The 22405-nt window shown below is 40.6% G+C and overlaps 1 protein-coding gene across 4 annotated transcripts, besides 4 other annotated features; it reads right to left on the minus strand.

Moving 5' to 3' along the window:
• Positions 1–1205: 1205 nt before the first annotated feature.
• GDE1 (glycerophosphodiester phosphodiesterase 1) lies at positions 1206–21611 on the minus strand. 4 transcript variants are annotated; one of them, NR_136689.2, is made up of 6 exons: positions 21217–21611; positions 16527–16702; positions 10352–10457; positions 7168–7292; positions 4394–4605; positions 1206–3130 (listed from the first exon to the last, which is right to left on the minus strand). NR_136689.2 is itself a non-coding variant. In NM_001324066.2 (6 exons), exons 2-6 carry the CDS (start codon positions 16631–16633, stop codon positions 2983–2985), a joined length of 666 nt encoding a protein of 221 aa, NP_001310995.1. In that variant the 5' UTR covers positions 16634–16698; positions 21217–21611; the 3' UTR covers positions 1206–2982. The 4 variants fall into 4 exon arrangements, 3 of the variants coding, with proteins under 3 accessions (NP_001310995.1, NP_057725.1, NP_001310996.1); NM_001324066.2 differs by having other exon boundaries at positions 7200–7292; positions 16527–16698; NM_016641.4 differs by having other exon boundaries at positions 7200–7292.
• Positions 20893–20952: an enhancer, noted in NCBI's record as "active region_10530". NCBI's record gives its function as "activates an Ori minimal core promoter by ATAC-STARR-seq in GM12878 lymphoblastoid cells {active_cell/tissue: GM12878}" and the evidence as "EXISTENCE:reporter gene assay evidence [ECO:0000049][PMID:35858748]".
• Positions 21078–21812: an enhancer, noted in NCBI's record as "H3K27ac hESC enhancer chr16:19532887-19533621 (GRCh37/hg19 assembly coordinates)". NCBI's record gives its function as "activates a minimal SCP1, AML or CMV promoter by ChIP-STARR-seq in naive H9 embryonic stem cells {active_cell/tissue: H9 hESC(naive)}" and the evidence as "EXISTENCE:reporter gene assay evidence [ECO:0000049][PMID:30033119]".
• Positions 21123–21292: an enhancer, noted in NCBI's record as "active region_10531". NCBI's record gives its function as "activates an Ori minimal core promoter by ATAC-STARR-seq in GM12878 lymphoblastoid cells {active_cell/tissue: GM12878}" and the evidence as "EXISTENCE:reporter gene assay evidence [ECO:0000049][PMID:35858748]".
• Positions 21403–21572: a silencer, noted in NCBI's record as "silent region_7245". NCBI's record gives its function as "represses an Ori minimal core promoter by ATAC-STARR-seq in GM12878 lymphoblastoid cells {active_cell/tissue: GM12878}" and the evidence as "EXISTENCE:reporter gene assay evidence [ECO:0000049][PMID:35858748]".

Here is a 22405-nt window from a genome sequence, read left to right on the forward strand (position 1 = left end):
CAAGCGCCTGTAATCCCAGCTACTCAGGAGGCTGAGGCAGGAGAATTGCTTGGACCCAGGAGGCAGAGGTTGCAGTGAGCTGAAATCGCACCACTGCGCTTCAGCCTGGGTGACAGAGTGAGACTGTCTCAAAAAATAAAGAAACTACTGTACATGGAAAGCATTTTAAACAGTCTAGGACATGGTAGGCAGTCAATAAATGTTAATTAGCAAGGATTTTACATGCACTCTTTCATTTAATCACTACCACCGCAAGAATACTACCCCTATTTTACAGATAAATTCAGTAACTTACCCAAGGTCATATAGCTGGTAAGTTGCTGAATAGGAAGGCAGACTTGGCTTTCTCTGATTCCAAATCCTGTTATTAACCCTATACTAAGCCTTCCAAGGAAGTGCTTAATAGTAGTTATTAATACCTTATTTCATCATTCAAATTCTCCACCTTTTGAGGCCCTGACCATCTTAGCATAGGACCTAAATCCTTAATTTGGCCTGGCTGAATCAAAGGTAAAATGGATTTGGGATAAAGATCAAGAGACAGAGATCTCATGGCTCTCCAGAGATCTTCCCACAACACAAAGGGATATTATTATTATTATGAAATTTTTAAAGATTGGAGTCAAACTCTGTCCCCTAGGCTGTAGTGCAGTGGCACGATCCTAGCTCACTGCAGCCTCAACCTGCTAGGCTCCAGTGATCCTCCCATCTCAGCCCCTATTTGTAAATTTTTTGTAGAGATGGGGTCTCACTATGTTGCCCAGGCTAGTGTTGAACAGCCTGTTGAACAGCTAGTGTTGAACAGAGGTATCTTTTTTTTTTTTTTTTTTTTTTTTTTGAGACAGAGTCTTGCTCTCTGGCCTAGGCTGGAGTGCAGTGGTACAATCTTGGCTCACTGCAACCTCTGACTCCTGGGTTCAAGCAATTCTCCTTGCTTCAGCCTCCTGAATAGCTGGGATTACAGGCATGTGCCACCATGCCCAACTAATGTTTGTATTTTTAGTAGAGATGGGGTTTCCCCATCATGGCCAGGCTGGTCTCAAACTCCTGGCCTCAAGTGATCCACCCACCTCAGCTCCCAAAGTGCTGGGATTACAGGTATGAGCCATCACGCCTGGCCTGATGTATCTTCTTTGGTCACTTTTTCCTCCTCCTTTCACTCTAGTCATAACATGGCACGGAAGTACATGCAGTTTAGACATTTGTTGCACTCAATGAACAAATCTTTGTTGTTTATTTTAAAATTCAAGACAATTTTTTTGCAAATGCTGATTCAAAACGTACCAATCCCCATCTATCATGCCTATGCCAATACAATCTGTCACAAAAAAGTTTGCTTCTCATTGTCACATAGCTATGGGGACTGGTGGCCTTCTAAAATCACTGTCCAGCTGCTGCAAGTGTGAGGCCAGCAACCCACGGCAGGGATGCAGGAGGGAAGCCATGGCTAAGCTGTGGGCCTGGACAAAGGCCACAGATGGGGTTGAAAGGTGAGAAGCGGTAAGCTAGAGGAGACAGACGGCGTTGCCATTAAAAACAATTCAACTTCATTTTAATGTTGCTATGTAAGTTCACAATAAAATCCCTGGAAGTTCAAATTGGAAAGAGCAGTTTGGGGTCATGGGCTCAACAATATAAAGGCAGATTCAGTGAGGGGTAAGGGTAGTGGCTCTGGGGGCAGACTGACCTAGATTTGAATGCCAGTTGTACCAGACTCAAGACACCTTGGGTAAGTGGTTTTATGAAGTACCTCAGTTCTTCATCAGTAGAAAGAGTGCTAACACCTCCATAAGACTTTTGTATGGATTGAGTAAGATAATGCATGTTAAACCACTTGTATAGTTTCTGGCTAACTGTAAACAAGATGTTCTAGAAGTTCTAGTTATCTTTTTTTTTTTTTTTTTTTTTTTTTTTTTAAGAGTCAGGTTCTCACTGTGCCACCAAGGTTGTAGTGCCGTGGTGTAATCATGGCTCATTGCAGCCTTGAACTTCTGGGCTCAAGTGATCCTCCCACCTCAACCTCCTGAGTAGCTGGGAATACAGGCATGCACCACCATGCCTAATTTTTTAGAGATGGGGTCTTGCTATATTGCCCAGTCTGGCCTCAAGTAATCCTCCTGCCTCAGCTTTCTGAATTGCTGGGATTATCGGCATGAGCCACTGTGCCCAGCTAAGCTGTGACTTTTGAGGCAACCCCTTCCCTTCCACAGAGTTTAGTTTCCTCATTTGTAAAATGAGGACAAACCTAGATATTTTTGGAAGTTTCTTCCAGTTCTAATTGCCTATGATCAGATCACATCTGTTGCAGAGCTTCCTAAAAAGCCTGGAAAAATGCAACTCTGCCCCCTGGTGGTTTGCAGCTCTCTATTCAAGATGCTATAAATCCCTCATTGGCTTCAAGACCTCCCTACCATTTTGGTTGCTGTACACTGAAGCCTCACTGGATTGCATGGTGGCTTCCCCAAATTCCGTATGCCTTAGGATATGATGCTTGGCACACAGTTTTCCTTTAGTGCTCCTTTTAATAATTTTATTAGTATGGCCACAAGTTTGATGTCTACAGTACATGTTAACATAGCTGAGTACAAATATTTGAAATAAGTGTGGCAAGTTTTAAAATGTCAACTCTGAGTTATCATGCATGTCCCATGCATTTACATCTGCATCTGCAAACTGTACAATTCAATCTGTGCTTATCCTCACTGGGTCTCCCTGTGTGCCTCAGCTAGGGCAGGGCAGGGGCTCTTGTGCGTTTTTTCAGACCCAGATTTTCAAGAGCAACAGTGTTGAACTCTGGCATGCCATGGTGCATGGTGGCAACACCGGGTTTAGCTTTGGTTCAGGTAAAAATGCAGTGACCAACTATTGCATTTGTGTGAGTCACCTGATTCCCCAGGGCCTGGGCTAGCACAAAGGGTATTTTGATATCCCTGTATGAGGCCCCTGGCAGTTTCTGAACCCGTTTCGTCCCACCGTGAAAGTCTAGAAGTGAGGTTCGCAGTCTTCTACCATGCTGTCAGTGATATAGCTGGAACCAAGATGGGATTCGTAGTAACTCTTTTCATCAAAGGTATTAACAGTCCAACCAACAACCTGGATTCCTTTAGCTGACCACTTCTTCAAGTAGGCCCTGGGGAAAGAGGAAAGCCAATCCTGTTAGAATAATAAGCAGCTGTCTCAGGAATCCATAATGGCCACTAAGTATGGTGTTCACTGCATACCAATGGTGCCCAGAGAATGCCTCCTAACTGGCCTCTGCACTGTGATCAGAGGGACTGTTCCAAAACCCAGGATGCCATGAACCTCCTCTACACTGTCCCAGCTTAAAACATTTCAGTAGCTCACTAATGATCGCCACCCCCAAATGTCCTTGGCACAGCCACTGAAGGTGTGCCTGACCTGGCCCCGACCTGTCTCCTTGGCTTCATCTCACACCACATTCCCCCTTTCTTTTCTGTGCTGATTAATTTTAAATTAATTGAAAGAATATTAATTTTCTTTCACTTCCTGGAAAGAACCATGTTCCTTCCTGCCAGAGCACATTACATGTATTTTTCTCTCTGATCTGGATTCCTCCCAATTCCCACTCACCCTTCAGATCTTAGCTTAACTGTCACTTCCTTGGGGATGCTGTTTCTGACAACCCAGACCAGATTAGATTATAGCCCATGCACAGTTTTCTCTGACATAGCCTGTATCTTAGTTTTAACTTTATATTGATTGGATTTTTATTTGATTAGCATCTCTCACTCTCCCACTTGGCTATAAACGTCACGAGGGCAGAGATCATGGCTTTGATTCTTTACCCACTGCATCTTCAGCTTCTCAACATGGAACCTTGCAATAGTATAGGCACTTACCAAATATTTATTGAACTGAATCATGTATGTCTGAAATAATACTAGACCTACAACTCTAATTAGCTGAAATATACAGATACAGAATTGCCAAAGAAATGATTCCGAGATCGCTAGCAGGTTAGGAAATGGAAATTTTATGGGGAGAGGTGGGGGAGTGCCTATAACATAAGACGGTAGTGGGGAGGCTGGTGCCCACAGGATGTCTTCACTGTGGTTCTGCCCAGGATCCTGTGTTGGCTTTCAAAAAAACCAGTCACAGAAATAAAATCCCTTGCTCAGCATAGTGTCACAGGTTCATTTTTTTTCTTCAAAATACACTAAAAAACCGAAAATATGTGATCGACTCGGTCTGAAAACAGTGAAATATGCCTGAACTCTTCCCACCTAAGAAGCGAAATTGGTAATCCAATTTAGAGGTATGGTAAGCTTTGCAGGTCAGAACCAATTCAGGTTGTCTACTCTGTTAATCCTTCCTTTCAAATAAGAGCATTCAGGATGTCTGTCTGGGTAAAATAAAAAACCTTCCAACTTACGGGGATACAAAATCCTTTTGCATGAGGAAAGCTGAAATTCCACACAGGTACCACAAGATATTATGCATGCTCCAATCGAGCAAAATGTCCATCATAACAAATATAAAATGTTTCCAGAAAGTATCATAGCGTGGTTTCCCATCTCCTGTATGGCTTAGGCTCCAAGGTCTGTGAGTTAATGCTGTTATTACATCCCGATCTGTTTGTCTCATCTGCAAAGGAATTTGGGGAAGTAAAATAATGATCATATGTAAAGTTGAATACTTATTAGTTTAGATTTAGCCAATGTGCTCAATCAGATGAGGTGGTCATGGTTGGTACCCTGCCCCGGTATCTACTAAATAAGTTCTCAATCATAAACCCTTTGAGAAAATAATGTGAAGAATGTAAAGCACTAATATGCAGCACATATGAGAACTTTTTTTTCCCAGTCCTTAAAAACTGCAATCCTATCTTTAAAATGGAAAAATTAAAACTTCAGGATCAAATTTTAATAATGTCATGAGAATAAACTTTTAATTGGCTATTGACTTAAATCCTGGCCAGAGATAATTAATTAGAACTCAATGAGGAGGGAACCAAGGTCAGTTCAAGATGGGCTGTTTAGTTTTGACCCTTTCCAGAGCAAATGGCTGAAGAGTTGTAGGGGTGAGGAGGGGGATGGGGAAGTGAGGTGGGAAGGGAGAGAAGGGATTGTGACGAGAGAATGGGAGAGGACAACAGAGAAATGGAGAGATGTGGATGGAGTTCCTTTAGTCTCTGCTCTTGTGCTCCTCTGGGGGAATGTCTTATACGTTTTAAAGGACTCTGTGGTCAAGGAAGTTTGGGAAACACTGTTCCAAATGTCTGCAAGCCCCATGACCCTATTCAACTCCATGACAGCTTCTATTGATAGGCTCTATCCTCACTGTAAAAATTTTCAATGTATGCTCTGTTGGTCACTGGTAAAGAATGCTACGGAACCAGCTTGTTATTCTGGAAACTGGTAAATAAAAGGAAAGATAAAGCATTTATTCTGCCTATTTGGTAACTAAATAGTAGAGGAGGAAAAGTTTCTTTTTAAAGATCTATTTCAGCTAATGCAAGAAGTAATAGAATTAAAATATCAGCATTTTGTAGCTCCCTAGAAAATGGACAGATCTGGCCAATGAGCATCAATAGCAGCCAAAAACAACAGGAGTCAACCAGATGTCAAGTGCCTCCTGACGGAAAAACACCCTCATCTCTAGAGTTATCTTGCCAAGAATAACCAACCCTAACCTCATCAAGGCAAGCTTCCAGCTCTCGCTACCAGTTTATAGAAAATAAAGAGAAAAAAATATTAAGCCATATCATGGCATAATCAGCAAAATTTGGACTTGGGTAAACTCTACAAAACAATAATCCGGTTTCTTCAGTAAATACAAAACAAGGACCCCCCCCAAAACAAACAAACAAAAAAAACAGAGAGAGAGAGAGACAGAACCTGCAAGTTTTAAGATTTACAGTTGCCGGCAGGGCATAGTGGCTCACACCTGTAATCATTTTGGGAGGCCGAGGCAGGCAGATCACCTGAGGTCAGGAGCTCGAGACCAGCCTGGCCAACATGGCAAAACCCCGTCTCTACTAAAATACAAAAAAAATTAGCCAGGCATGGTGGTGTGTGCTTGTAATCCCAGCTACTCAGGAGGCTGAGGCAAGAGAATTGCTTGAACCCGGGAGGCAGAGGTTGCGATGAGCCGAGATCATACCACTGGGCGACAGAGCAAGACTCCGTCTCAAAAACAAACAAAAAAAGATTTACGATTGTAACACGCCGATCTTACTTGGGTCCTATTCGAATGAGCAATTTATGAAAAACAACCATTTATGACATTTCCGAGACAAGTCAAAATTTATACACTGGATATTTGATGATATGAATAATTTATTGTTAATAATTTTTAGATGGGACAATGGCATTGTGGCTATGTTTTTAAAAAGGCATCACTAGGCTGGTTACTGTGGCTCATGCCTGTAATCCCAGCACTTTGAGAGGCTGAGGTGGAAGGATTGCTTGAGCTTAGGAGTTGGAGAACTGCCTGGGTAATACAGGGAGACCCTGTCTCTACAAAAAATAAAAATAAAAAATTAGCTGGGCGTGGTGACGTGCGCCTGTGGTCCCAGCTACTTGGAAGGCTGAGGCAGGAGGATCATTTGAGCCTGGAAGGTCAAGAGTGCAGTGAGCTGTGATCACACCACTGCACTCCAGCCTGGGAAACTGAGGGAGAACCCGTCTTTTAAAATAAATAAATAAATAAATAAATAAATAAATAAATAAATAAAATGGCATCACTTTTTAAAGATTCTTAATGCAATTTTATGGATGGAATAAGATTTGCTTCAAAATAACACTGGGGAGGATCAATGGGGTTATGGGTGAAATGAGCTGGATCACAGTTAAAGGGGGGGTACACTACTACTTTATTTTATGCATGTTTTAGATTCTCCATAATTAAGAATTTATTTTATGAAGGTATGTTCTGCTGTTAGTTGGTGAGAAGTAGGGGCTACATAATTCTTTTCTGTTGTGAGAATTTTACTACAGTAATCTGAGTGAGCCTATAAACAACATAAAAGAAGGGGCAAAAGAGGAATAATGGCATTCTGTAAGGGGTATGAGTACATTCCCCTTCTGGAATTTCTCTGGTTAATTTAAAAGAGGAGCTTCTCAACTGTGACCCTGATGCAGTTCAATTTAATAGGCATCTATCCTGTGCTTACGCAGCCCATTGCAATTATCTACACCAGCTCACCTAATATGTACAAGAAAAATCCCGAATGTTACCTTGTAGATAACTTCTGGCAAGAAAGAACAGACCACACTATTATTATACAGTTGAGGAAATTCCATATACATTTTCTTTAGAGCCTCAGTAGCCTGTAAAATAAAGAGATTCATATATTTAAAATTGATTAAAATGTGATAGATAGCCCCAGCCAATAACTATCACATATTAAGTACAACCCTATGGAATAAAACAGAAGTTTACTAGAAATGGAGGTACTGAAAGTATTGGTAGAGTCTATTATCCACTGGGATGCATTTTAAACTCACACCAGCAGCAAACAAGGAAGAAGGTGGAGTACTGCTGCTTTACTCCCTCTGAGGGCCTCACCCCTTTTGGAATACTTTTGAAAAGTGTGGTAAGCCGTAGGTCAGATGAGGCCAGAGGCAAAATTTTCCTTGCCTTATACCCTAGTTTAGCCACTATGAAAAGTCCTTTCATACCCACAGCTCTATCACTCTGTGCCTTTTCTAAATGAAACATGAGCCAGCCAGTCTGGGAACTACAGAGGATAGATTTCTCAGTCCAGGGGACTGAGAGGACGCATTACCCATCACCAATATGGAGGGAGAAGTAATGGGGCAAGGGTAGGAGGGACTGGGAAGAGTTAAGGGGCTCCCAATTCTTCCCAAGGTGAACAGAAGTTTCTTTTTATAGTAGTCTAGCTACGAAATGAAGAAGACATGATAGAATTTAAGTATTATTTGGTAACCCCTAGTGAAGTGACATCAATAGCAGCTAACAACAAGAAAGTCACCAGCCATGTGGGACGCAATGCTGCTGCTGCATAATTTGTGAAACACTGCTAATTTTTGGAATGTTACACATACCCCTAACCAAATATGATGAGCAAAATGCATTCCCCCACCAAAATAAAAAAGGACACAAATTATCCATGTCATGCCTCCTCTTCGCTAATGCAACTGAAGGCAAGCTATAGAAAGCATTTTTTTTTCTGTTTGAACAAAGACATGCACTGTAAACTCTTAGCATTTACATTATTTAATTCTCACAACAACCTTATGTGGTAACTGCTTTTAGTATCCCCATTTTACCCATGAAGAAACTGAAGCTCATCAAAGTTAAGGTTACCCTGTAGTAAGAGCTCAGTCAAGGACTGTTGGAGTCCCAAGCCCATGATTTTGGCCACTGTGCTCTACTAGCTCCACTTTGTTGCCTACACTTGTGCCTTTCTACTACCATCTTGGTGAATTAGGTCACTATGTTCTACCCAGTCTTGGCTGAACACCCATGAGCACCCATTCAGAAGACTCAAATAGCTAGATTTTCTTTTTTAAATGTCTACTTCTTTTTAAAAAGTATTCTAAGAGAAGCCAGGCGTGGTGGCTCACACCTGTAATCCCAGCACTTTGGGAGGCCAAGGTGGGCGGATCACTCGAGGCCAGGAGTTTGAGACCAGCCTGGCCAACATGGCAAAACCCCATCTCTACTAAATATACAAAAATTAGCCGGGTGTGATGGCACATGCCTCTAATCTCAGCTGCTTGGGAGGCTGAGGCAGGAGAATTGCTTGAACCCCGGAGGCAGAGGTTGCATTGAGCCGAGATCGCGCCAATGCACTCCAGCCTAGGTGACAGAGTGAGACTCTGTCTCAAAAAATCTAAGAGAATAAGCATAAAAGTCAGTATACCATGGGTGAAATGTAGGACCTATCAGGGTTCCCAAATGTGGGCTGCAACATCAACAATGAGCACCTGAGGTGCTCATTAAAAATACATGTTCCTTGAGCCCACCCTAGACATTTTCAGAATCTCTTCCCTAGGGAGAATGGCCCAGGAATTTATATTTTAAAATAGGTACAGGTGATTCTAACGCAGACCAATTGGAAAACCTAGACGTATACAACTATCGGTTTACTAGAATAATAAATTAGTTACCATTATCTTCCTTCTTCAAAAATAGGAATTAACTGTTAATAAAATTAGAGTGTATACTTAGGCTCCACATTTCAGGTTTTTTTTTTTTTTTTGAGACGGAGTCTCGCTCTGTCACCCAGGCTGGAGTACTACTGGCGCAATCTCGGCTCAGTGCAACCTCTGTCTCCCCGGTTCAAGCGATTCTCCTGCCTCAGCCTCCCGAGTAGCTGGGATTACAGGTGCCCGCCACCAAGTCCAGCTAATTTTTGTATTTTTAGTGGAGACAGGGGTTTCACCATGTTGGCCAGGCTGGTCTCGAACTCCTGACCTCAGGTGATCCACTCCCAAAGTGCTGGGATTACAGGTGTGAGCCACTGCACCCGGCCCATTTTGGGTTTTAACAACTGGTTTCAATGATATCATGGGATTAATTAAAAAAAAAAATTGGCATCATCAGAATTCTCAACCAGTAGATGGCCCTTACCGATTATTAATATTGCTAGGGGAAAAATACTCAAGTTGCCCAAATGGGGAAAAAAGTACTTGCACTTGAAAAGCTGGTTATAAGAGAACAAATGTAATCAGAATCATATCTTCCCACTGATTTTCACTGTAATAATATGTTCTTATGAGTGTAAGTGCAGGCCCTAAAATTTAAGCAAAATTTTATCTAGGAATGTCAAATACATTTGAAGAAAATAAATGATTTTCTGATAAAAGTATAACTGCTAAAATCAATGAATAAAAAACTATACATAAGGGATATAAATTATACAAAGGGATAAATCTATGTAAAAGGTATATGTTCTGTTAACTATTAGAAGCTTTTAATATAGGAATTCTCTTTAAATGCAGTCCATAGTTGTCCATATAAGGCCCTTAACTTTTAAGCTAGATAAAATTGGTCTTGTGTACAACTTCGGAATTCCTTTTTTTCAAGTAACTCAAGGTTACTACAGTGGTTTTTTTCTAGAAATGTCTTTTTTACTGTTTACTTAATATCTTTTGTAAATGCTTTATGTAAATAATAGAAACTTGACTCTTCCATTTTATGCTGGTTTTGTAAAGTTTCCATAAAAGGTTAAAAAGTTCCATAATGCACTGTTTCCTTAAATGATATAGATTCCTGCATTGTACACTTCCATTAAACAAATACAATTTATAAAAATAAGTTTTAAAAAGAATAAATAACAAAATATATGTAACTTCGGAAATGACCGTCAATGAAATAAGATGTCTTTTTAACAAAGTGAAGTCCACAATTTAAACTGTACCTTGTGTGCATGGCCTTTGACATCAAAGAAGATTGTGAGGTTATGGTTTAGGCACTCTGCAACAGCTTCCCTTAGGGTAGGGATCTTTTCATCAGGGAAATCATTCCTGTAAGAGAAGAGAAAATACGTTGTAGGAAAAAAGAGAAACAGATAAACTGTATTGCAACAAACATTTTGCATATGTCTCTCAATCAAAAGGAAAGAGTGTTTTCTCCAACTTCCTTTTTTCGACCATAGCAAAGTCCAAAGATACTTTACTTTAAGATTTTTTTTTTTTTTTTTGAGACGGAGTCTTGCTCTGTTGCCCAGCCTGGAGTGCAGTGGTGCAATCTCAGCTCACTGGAACTACCAACTCCCAGGTTCAAGCAATTCTCCCGCCCCAGCCTCCCAAGTAGCTAGGACTACAGGCGTGTGACACCACGCCTGGCTAATTTTTTGTGTTTTTAGTAGAGGCGGGGTTTCACCATGGTGGCCAGGCTGGTCTTGAACTCCTGACCTCAAGTGATCTACCTGCCTTGGCCTCCCAAAGTGCTAGGATTACAGGTGTGAGCCACTGCGCCTGTCCTACTGTAATAATTTGAACCAAATTATAGATATTCTTTTTTCCACATTTTTATTGCTATACACTTAGACATATTTTTGTGATATGCGCATAATGTATAATGATAAAATCAGGGTATTTAGGATGTCCATCACCCCAAATATTTATCATTTCTTTGTGTTAGGAACATCTAAATCTCCTAGCTATTTTGAAATATACAACAGATTGTTAACTATAATCACTTTACTATGTTATTGAACACTAGAATTTATACCTTCTATCGAACTGTATGTTTGTACTCATTAACCAAATTCTCCTTATTCTCCTCTTCCCCCAACCCCAAACCCTTCCCAGCCTCTGGTAACTATCATTCTCCTCTCTACCTCCATGAGATCAACTTTTTTAGCTCCCATATATGAGTGACAACATGTAATATTTGCCTTTCTGTGCCTGGCTTATCTTATTTCATTTAACATAATACCTTCAGTTCCATCCATGTTGCTGTAAATGACAGGATATCATCCTTTTTTATGGCTAACTACATAGTATTCCATTGAGTATATTTACCACAGTTTATCCATTCATCCACTGATGAACACTTAGGTTGATTCTGTATCTTGGCTATTGTGAATAGTGTTGCAATAAACATGGGGGTGCAAGTATGCCTTTGATACACTAGTTTCCTTTCTTTTGGATAGATACCAACTAGTGGGATTACTGGATTGTATGGTAGTTCTATATTTTTAGTTTTTTGAGAAACCTCCATACTGTTTTCCATAATGGCTGTACTAATTTACATTCCCACCAACAGAATATAAGAGTTCCTTTTGCTCTGTATCCTCGCCAGCATCTGTTATTTTAAAAATCTTTTAAATAATGGCCATTCTAACTAGATAAGATGGTACTTCATTGTGGTTTTGATTTGCATTTCCCTAATAATTTGTGGTGTTTTTTCATATGCCTGTTGGCCATTTGTGTGTCCTCTTTTGAAAAATGTTTATTCAAATTAGGATTTGAATAGATGTTTTTAATGGGATTATTATTGTTTTTGCTGTTAAGTTCCTTGTATATTCTGGATATTAGTTACTTGTCTGTTGAATAGTTTGCAAATATTTTCTCCTATTCAACAGGTTTTCTTTTTACTCTGTTGATTATTTCCTTTGCTGTGCAGAAGCTTTTTAGTTTAATATAGTCACATTTGCCTGTTTTTGTTGCCTGTGCTTTTGAGGTCTTAGCCATAAAATCTTTGCCTAGATCAATGTCCCAGAGCTTTTCCCCTGTGTTTTCTTCTAGTAGTTTTATAGTTTCTGGTCTTAAATTTAAACTTTTAATCCATTTTGTGTTGATTTTTTAAATATAGTGAGAGATAGGGGTCTAGTTTCATTATCCTGCATATGGATATCCAGTTTACCCAGTACCAGTTATTGAAGAGAGTTCCTTTCCCCCACTGTAATGTTCTTGGTGCCTTCATGGAAAATCAGTTGGCTGTAAATATATGGATTTATTTCTTGGTTCTCTATTGTATTCCACTGGTCTATGTATCTGTTTTGTGTGTGTGTGTGTGTGTGTGTGTGTGTGTGTGTGTGTGTCAGTATTTATACCAATACCATGCTGTTTTGGTTACTGTGGCTTTGTAGTATATCTTGAAATGAGGTAGTGTGATATGTCCAGCTTTGTCCTTTTTGTTCAGTATTGCTTTAGCTATTTGGGCTTCTTTACGGTTCCATATGAATTTTAGGATTGTTGCTTTTCTATTTCTCTGAAGAATGTCTTTGATATTTTGATAGGGATTGCACTGAATTGTAAATTATTTTGAGTAGAATGGTCACTTTAGGAATATTAATTCTTCTGATCCATGAGCATGGGATGTCTTTCCATTTGTGTCCTCTTAAGTTTTCTCATCAGTGTTTTGTAGTTTTCCTTGTAAGAGCTCTTTCACCTCTTTGGTTATATTTATTCCTAGGTATTTTGTTATTTTTTTTTTGGTAGCTATGTAAATGGGATTACTTTCTTGATTTCTTTTACAGCTAGTTCATTATTTACGTATAGACATGCTACTGATTTTTGTACGTTGATTTTATATCCTGCAATTTTACTAAATTTGTTTATCAGTTTTAACAGTTTTTTGGTGAAGTCTTTAGGTTTTTCTACATACAAAATCATGTTGTCAGCAAAGAGGTACAATCTGACTTCCTCTTTTTCCAATTTGGATGCCTTTTATTTCTTTCTCTTTCCTGATTGCTCTGGCTAGTCAATCATTCCATATTTAGCAAAATTGATATGAAGGTCGAAAGAATCATGGAGGAAGTAATTAACCATATTATCCAGAGTTTGCTGTACTTGGAACTGATAAAACTGAAAGTATCCAGTAAGTACAGACTAAATGTAATCATAAACTTCCCTTTTATTGCATAAGACTTTCAAACATGCTGTGGTTGCTTTTAAACACAAGTAGGTTGGGCTGTAATTGTGTAAGAAGCAACAAGTAAATGGTTTGCACAAGCACTTTTAGAAAGGTTAAGACAACTGGACCACATGGTGGTGCCCAAGACATTTTTAATTCATATCCTGGTGACAAGTGAGCATTGAAAACCCAAGACTCGTAGATGAGAAGAATTGAAGCACACAGACACCTGAGCACAGAGATTAGAGATTGATGGTCTTTGGTTTCTTATATTGTATAATGGATGTTATTTTTCTGTTTTTTGTTTTGTTTTGTTTTGATTTGTTTTCCTTTTCTGGTAATTCTGTGCTTCTGACACTAGCTATAAATTGGGGTTCCCACCTCCTCCTCCTTGGGTTCAATTAATTTGTTAGAGTGGCTTGCGGAACTCAAACACGTTTACAGGTTTATTATAAAGTATGTTACACAGCATACAGATGAAGACATGCATAGGGTGAGGTATGGGGAAAGGGGCATAGAGCTTCCATGCCCTTTCTGAGTGCTCCATCATTCAGGAACCTCCATGTGTTCAAATACAGATATTCTTGACCAAAGACCAGCAACAACAACAAAAATCATTTAATTTTTAAGAAATCACTGAATTTCTATTGAATTAATAACATTATTAATAACCCTACTTCCCAAAGGGCAGAGTATATGCCACCTTTGGAAAACTCAAAGACTTAATTTTCAGATTGTAATTTCCCTAATAGAATGCTATGCAGGAGGAATTCTTAGGAATACATAAATCTGTTAACTGTATTGTGTATTTATTTAAGTGCAACTGTTTAAAATAAATAATGTTCTAAGACATAATTTTCTGATAAAGAAAATGAAAACTAAGTGCTTGATACAAAAGAAATTAGCTTTTCTCTCATAATAAAATTATTATTTAACTTAATGCTAATTCAACTGCATTATTTCAACTGTAAGATCATGCTTTTAAAAAAGGGTAAGGATAGGCCAGGTACAGTGGGCTCATGCCTGTAAATTCAGCACTTTGGGAAGCTGAGGCAGGCAGATCACCTGAGGTCAGGAGTTCGAGACCAGCCTGGCCAACATGGCGAAACCCCGTTTCTACTAAAAATGCAAAAATTAGCTGGGTGTGGTGGCATGTGCCTGTAATCCCAGCATTCTGGAGGCTGAGGCAGGAGAATCACTTGAACCCGGGAGGTGGAGGTTGCAGTGAGCCAAGATCATGCCATTGCACTCCAAACTGGGCAACAAGAGTGAAACTCCAACTCAAAAAAAAAAAAAAAAAAGATAAGGATAATTTAAACATTACAGGCAATTATCCCAGCCATTCTAATCAATTTCTATTCCCTGAGAGTGAAAGATGGGAGACCTGAATTTGTTATTCCTTTGGCTGATCTTAGTTTCCTCCTTATCCTCCTCTCAGGACAAGCATCTCATCACACTGAGCATAATTCTAGAGAAAATATCTATTTTTTCCCACAACATAATCCGTAAACACAAGCCAATTACTTCATTTAGTTTTCAATCATAGAACACACTCTGTTCCAATAGTGGAGCAAAGACTGGTTGTGTTAAAGACACTGAGATAATATGTTGCCTTTGCTGTCTTCTTAAGGGATTTTTTGAAAATCACAATTTTTTTTCCTAGGATGCACAAATTCCAGAGAAATGGACTCAGTGCTCCCTTAAAGGATTTTTAAGGGTAATGATGACCCTAAACATTTTTGCTTTAAGTATTAACTTTGAACCTGACATTTTATTAGCTGCAATGTCATTATAATATTCAAACCAGCCTTTCCCTTGCATAAGCAGAGCAATACAGTATCTGATGACACTCAAGAACAATTCTAGCAACTTGGACTCATAATTCTCAAGTGTTACCAATATTCTTTCCTGCCTACAGTATGACTTCCTTCGGCAGACTAATGTTTTTCAGATCCTAGGAAAACAGGTCTGGATCATCTTTTAGGAAAAAGTATAACTTAACTGTTGGGTCAAATACTTAATTTTCCAAGAGAATCGATCATTGTCTGGATAATTGATATTACATGAATAACCAGTGAGCACACCCTTTTCAGTACTGCAAAGATGACAAGCAGAGAGGGATTTAAATAACCACATTCCAAAGTACAGTATATTACTCAGCATACCAATTCCAAGGGTGTTTACCGCTGTAAGTGGGGAAGAGGATGTAGGTTCTGTGATCATGTAAGTTTGAGAAAAGCTAAGTTACAAGTAAGAATCAGCTGATGTGGACTGTTTATCCACAACAGAAGTATTCAGAATACACTGTTTGATCTTACTTGAACCCTGTTTTTGCAGAACATCTTGTAAGATTAGCTCTAGTGTATATACTTTGGAAGCTACGTTTACACTCTACCAGGAAGGAATTAAATTAGACACTGAAAGAACTTTTGCTCTTACAGGGTTGAAAGACATTGGGGGCAGCTAAAAACAGCATGATTTGGACTAAAACTTGGGATAGATTCTAGTTTTGGCTTCTTTATGAACTAGTTATTTGCCCTTGAGTAAATAATTTAACTTTTCTGGGATTATATCTAAAGGCAAGATTGATCTAGATCTGTAGTATCCTATATGGTAGCCACACATGGCTATTTCAGTTTAAATTTACATTTAAATTAAAAATTCACTTCCTCGTGTCACTAGCCACATATCAAGTGCTCAATAGCCACAAGTACCTACCATATTACACAGTGCAGATATAAAATATTTCCATCATTGCAGAAAGTTCTACTGCAAAGTGCTATTCTAGATGATTTCTAGGATACTCTCTATTCCTACAATTCTGTGATTCCTCAGAAGTTTGTTATGAGGATCAGAAGAATTAAATGGGTTAAGTTAAAATGTGATATTATAATGTTACTTGAAGCTTTTAATGAATGTATAATTTGCTTCTTGGTACACCTGAAGGCAAGAAGATTGCCAAGCAATGACTTTCAGCCTCATGATTCTATGACTAGACAGTATTATCTTGACAATAATTCTGAAGCCAAATTTAGCCTCAGTGGGAAAGATTAAAAACATAATGCCAAATTTCTGTTGTTCCTGGCACTTGCTCATTACTTACAAGACCTACGTACAGTTCAAAACAAAACAAGACAACTCTCCTGGGGCAGATGTAATTAGAAGGCACCAGTGTCTGTCATTTCCAATAAAAGCTAAAAGATCTGTTTAAGTGACAATAAACTACTTACCTGAGTCTGTGGTTTGCTGCAGGATTCAGCTTCCTAATTTGTTCAAATGTCAAATCACACAATCGCCCAGTCCCATCAGTCGTCCTATCTACTGTGTTATCGTGCATTAAGACAGGAATCCCGTCAGAAGTAAACTCAATGTCCAACTCCACGCCTGTTGCTCCATTCTTAGCTGCCTTAACAAAAACATCAAGAATATTACTGTCAAATGGCCACAAACATTATTTTGCATCTAACCACCCAAAAGACCAGCAGGGCTCCTAAGACAGCTGTCCTTTTTGATTCATTTTCCTTCCACTTCCCCCACCAAACAGCAATCCTGATCTGTTTCTGTTTTCTGTGTATATAACCTTACTTCAATTCCTAACTGATGGATTCCTTAAAAACTTTAATTTTCCCACTCTTCTTACTTTCACAGTGGAAGACTAGGAGACTTCAGGAACTTATGTTTTCTCTGGATGTTTAACTATATGGGTCATCAATGGCTTATGAATACTTAGACAATTCCACTGTTTACCTACACTATTTGTTGGTACAGCAGTTCTGATGATCACCCTACGGTTGTTGATTAGTCAGATATTTCACTACTTTGGCATAAATGAGTCAGGTTTTTGTTGGTTTAATTCCACCCTCTACCACAAAGACACCACGCCTGCTTCTAGGACATATCACATTTTGTTTATGTAAGCAGCACTGGCTGTTGGCCCATAAGTTGTTAAGCTTGATGAGGTAGATTAGAATTTATCTAAAAAGAGAATTTGAACCTTAAATTACACGAGCCATGCTCCTCTGGAGACACACTATTTAATGTTTGCTTCCTTGGCTTCCTCATCACAATAAAGATGTGAAATGCTCATTACGATGAAGATTTCTTTCTTTTTTTTTTTTTTTGGAGACAGGATCTGGCTCTGTTGTTCAGGCTAGAGTGCAGTGGCATGATCTCGGCTCACTAAAACCTCCGCCTCCTGGGTTCAAGCCATCCTCCCACCTCAGTCTCCCAAGTAGCCGGGACTACTGGCACGTGCCACCATGCCCAGCTAATTTTTGTATTTTTTGTAGAGATGGGGTTTCACCATGTTGTCCAGGCTGGTCTCGAACTCCTGAGATCAAGCAATCCTCCTGCCTCAGTCTCCCAAAGTGCTGGGATTACAGGTGTGAGCCACTGTGCCCAGCTATGATCAAGATTTTTAATTTTTTAAAAAATATTTTAAGTCATGGTCTATTGCAAACATCTACAGTAAAAAAGATTTAACATATGTGAATATTTTGACCTAATTTCCTCAGTCTCTTTCTGTACTAAAACAAAAACAAAAACAAAAACTATTATTTATTGAGCCTTTTCTACTTGCCAGGCACTCTTCTAAGTGCTTTAAATGTATTAACTTATTTGATCCTCACAACCCTGAAGCAGGTACTATTAATATTCTCATTTAACAGATAAGAAAACTGAGACAAAGAAAGAGTAGGAAACTTGCCCAGGGCTGCACAAGCTAGGATGCAGTAGAAGTTGCACTCTTATCCGCTTCAGTTTTACTATCAACACTACAGATACAGCTGAAATTCTCCCTTTCATTCTCCTCCTTTCCTCTCCAGAGGTAATTACCATCTTAAAGTTGGTGTATATCATTCTCATGTCACTCCCTTACCGGTTTTTATTTAAGTACCCATAAACAACACAGAGCACTGTGCTAGTGAATAGTTAAGATTTCAATAAATGTTAGCCATTGTTATTTATTATGTCCTTTTAAACACATCTTTAAAGGTAATATAGTCAAATTTATCAATAACGTCCTTTATGGGTGGAGATTTTTCTGCTTTATTTAAATCTTTTCCTTTTCCCATGTGATACAGATGTACGACTATTTTGGAAAAACACATCACATTTTCCCTCTGCTCTCACAACAATCAACCCCGACGTCTGTGACCAAAAATGTGGGGGTTTTTCCCCACCAATAAGTAGTGGACACCAGCTGGGTATCCTCCAACTCAATTTTGACACTATCTACCTGGAGATAGTGTCAGATCATAGGTTGAGGGCTTGGTCCCCAAGACTGCACCCCACCCTCCTCCAGACACAAATAGCAAGCTGGGGCCTATGGAACTTCTGACCAATTGGCTTCAAGTCCTCTTAGGTTTATTTTAGTTTTTATTTTTTTAATTCCTCTTAGGTTTTTATGGAAGCTTCATGATGTCAGCATTCCTTCCCCCAGGGTATAGGGTGGGGTCCCTCTCTGAGGAGGGTCTTAAGACTCACAATTTGAAAGACAGGGAAAGATTCCAGTCCTGCCTTGGGGTAGGTGAAAGGAGGGCAGGAGAGATTCTGTTTCCCAAGGCCTGCTCCTAAGGCCTAGGATGCCTAACAAAATACTGTAGCAAGGGCTGAGAGTTATGAGCCAGGAACCATGGATGAAAACCTATATATGTGTGTGTATGTGCATATATATATATATATATATATATACATACACAATACTTAATAGATTACAATATAGTGTAAACATAACTTTTATATGCACTGGGAAACCAAAAAATTTGTGACTCCCTTTATTACTATATTTGCTTTATTGACTATTTACTCAGGTCTGGAACTGAACTTGCAATATCTCCTATATATACTAATATGTGAATTAGAACCAGGGATTCATCTTTTTATCTCAATTACTGGAATAACATAGAAGTACTGGTAAAGCTGGCCAGGCAGTGGCTCATGCCTGTGATCCCAGCACTTTGCCTGTAATCCCAGCACTCTGTAATCCACTGAGGCAGGTGGATCACTTGAGGTCAGGAGTTTGAGACCAGCCTTGCCAACATGGCAAAACACCATCTCTACTAAAAACAAAAAACAAAAATTAGCTGGGAGTGGAGGAGTACATCTGTAATCTTAGCTACTTGGGAGCCTGAGGCACAAGAATCGCTTCAACCTGGGAGGTGGAAGTTGCAGTGAGTTGAGATCGCCCCACTGCACTCAAACCTGGGTGACAGAGAGAGACCCTGTCTCAAAAATAAATAAATAAATAAAATTATTGGTAAAGTCGAATGTATACATACATATATACATTTCTGACAGTGCTAGAATTTCTGGTAGATTATAAATGAGATATAGAAGGAAAAACTTGATAAATGTGAGTTGAGTGTATTCCAAAAACAGATACACTACTATAAACAGTGGCAAAGGAATGAAATTACACCCACAGTACATTCTCCACATGGGCCAGAGTGCAGCTTTAAAAGTATAAATCTTGGCCGGGCACGGTGGCTCATGCCTGTAATCGCAGCTACTCGGGAGGTTGAGGCAGTAGAATCACTTGAACCTGGGATACAGAGGTTGCAGTGAGCTGGGGTTGCGCCGATGCACTGTAGCCTGGGAGACAGTGAGACTTCGTTTAAAAAAAAAGAAAAAAAAAAAGAAAAAAAAAGGAAATGAGGGAGGCCAGGCATGATGGCTCATGCCTGTAATCCTAGTACCTTGGGAGGCCGAGGCGGGTGGATCACTTTGAGGCCAGGAGTTTGAGACCAGTCTGGCCAACATAGCAGAACCCCATCTCTACTAAAAATACAAAAATTAGCTGGGCGTGGTGGCACACGCCTGTAATCCCAGCTACTCCGGAGGCTGAGGCACGAGAATCGCTTGAACACGGGAGGCAGGGGTTGCAGTGCGTGGAGATTGCACCACTGCCCTCCAGCCTGGGTAAAAGAGTGAGACTCTGTAAAGTAAAAAAAAAAAAAAGAAGAAGAAGGAAGGAAGAAGAGAGAGAAAAATAAAAAAGAAGAGAATCAGATATATTTACACAGATGCAAAAGTGCCTAATCCACTGAAAAGCCCTCTCTGTAAGCTGTCATTATTATGAAGCTAGGAGAATGCCAAGAGCTGGGAGGTATCAAAAGTTTCAGGAGTGCCTTGTGAAAAGGAGGGGGCAGAAACTGATGTGAGTCCAGCTGCCAGGGTTGTGCGAGTGCGAATGTGTGTGTCTGGGGAAAAGGTGATAAGGAAATGACTCAAGTGATTTACAAGACAAGCAAACGTATGTCTTGTGAAGGGTGATCTATTTAGACTAACCTCAATTACTGACCAAGAACCTATTTGACCTGACCCATTTTCTACTTCATTCACACACCAGTCTTTGTTCTCTTCCTTGAAGTCAGGCCACACACTGCCTCTTCTGTTACCTGAACACCCCTATATTATTCCCATCTCAGGACCTTCTGCACCTGCCTGGCTCCTTATAATTCCGGTTTCTGTTCAAATGTTGCTTCTTCGGAGACGATTTCTCTTGACTATTCCATCTAAATAAAATAGCGTAACTCTTTCCTTCGAGTTCCCCCGATTTCTTCATTGCACCTTTCACTCTCTTAAAGTTATCTCATTTATGTGTTTACTTGTTTAAGGCTTGCCTCCCCCATTCCGATGTACACTCTGTAAACCAGGGACACTTTTGACCTTGTTCCTGGCTGTATGTAACCTTAGCGTCAGGCGCACAGAAACTATATACATATCTGCTGTCTTCTGTAAATATAAAACCTCAAGTCCGGAGATCCCTAGACACTGGGAGCGATCAAGGGCCGGGAGTGTGCCTTGTGGACGAATGAGGAAGTGGGAAGGCCGTCCTGAGAAGATCGGGGAACCCTGGGAAGGAAAAGTAGAAGTCCGAGCTCTCGGGAGGACCGAGGGGCGCGAACGTGGGGGTCTCACCTGCCGAATGGCCGCCAGCGTGTTCTCGGGCGCGTCGTGGCTGCCGCCACGGTGGGCGATGGCAGAAATGCGGTCCCGGGGCTTGAGCACCTGCAGGGCCCTGCAAGAGGGCACCGGCTCAAAGCTGAAGACGCGCAGTAGAACGAAGAGGCTGCCGGTGAGGAGGCAGGCATTGACCGGGCTCCGCGTCACCAGCAGCAGCACTAGCAGCAGGAAGGAGAAAGGGCCCAGGAGGCCGCCCTGGTCCTCCCACAGCCACATGCCGGCGCCCGCACCGGCACGGACGGGAGTCCCGGACCCGCCGGGCTCCTGGGGCAGTAGAACGAGAAGCGAGGGGGAGGGTCCAAGGCACCGGCAGCAGCAGGAACCCTCTGAGGGGACCAGCGCCGCACAATGGCGGCAGCAGACACATCCAGAGAGGGAGTCGGCCGCCCAGCCAATCAGGGATCGGGATTCGCAGCGCCAGTGGGCGGAGCCGCTCCATGGCAACGGGGGAGGGCCCAGGCCCCAGGCCCCAGGCTCACGTTCCAAATCTAAGGTGGGTTAGGGTTTTCCGAGGTCTGAACTTCAACCTGGGCGTTCAGACTCCTAGGCGAGAAAAGGAGGGATAAGAACCATCCTAAAGCTGTAGGACTGGAAGGGATTTTAGTGACTCCTTTATCTGCCCTTGAGGAAACTGAATTCCAGGGAACCTGGAGAGGCAGGATGCTTAGACTATCAATTCAATTCAATTCAATTCAGTTCAGTTCAGTTCAATTCAAGATGTGCCAAATACCGGTCCAGGTGCTCCGGACACAGTTGAACAGGACCTACAGGGTTTTTGCTCTTATGGGATTCACATTCTTGTGGGAGGAAATAAAAGTTAGCAAGTACACCTAACGTTTACAGAGCACTTACCATGTCCCAGGTACTTGACGAGCAAACACTTTATATGCTTATCTCATTCTCAATACAGCCTAACAGTTACTATCAGGAGACTGATTTCAATCGACTTTATTTTCCAGATTCTGGGGGACTGGAAGAGCCTAGCAAAGAAGGCACAATCGGATTATAAAACTGGAAGGGGTTTTAAGGATTCCCTTATTTCATAGATGCGGAAACTGAGGATAGGTGAATTAAGCAGTTAATGGCAGGGTGGGGACTGACATAAAGGCCTCCCCAGTGATTTGTGACATTTTCACTCCTCCTC

Source organism: Homo sapiens, chromosome 16 (assembly GCF_000001405.40).
Source record: "Homo sapiens chromosome 16, GRCh38.p14 Primary Assembly".
Classification (NCBI taxonomy): domain Eukaryota; kingdom Metazoa; phylum Chordata; class Mammalia; order Primates; family Hominidae; genus Homo; species Homo sapiens.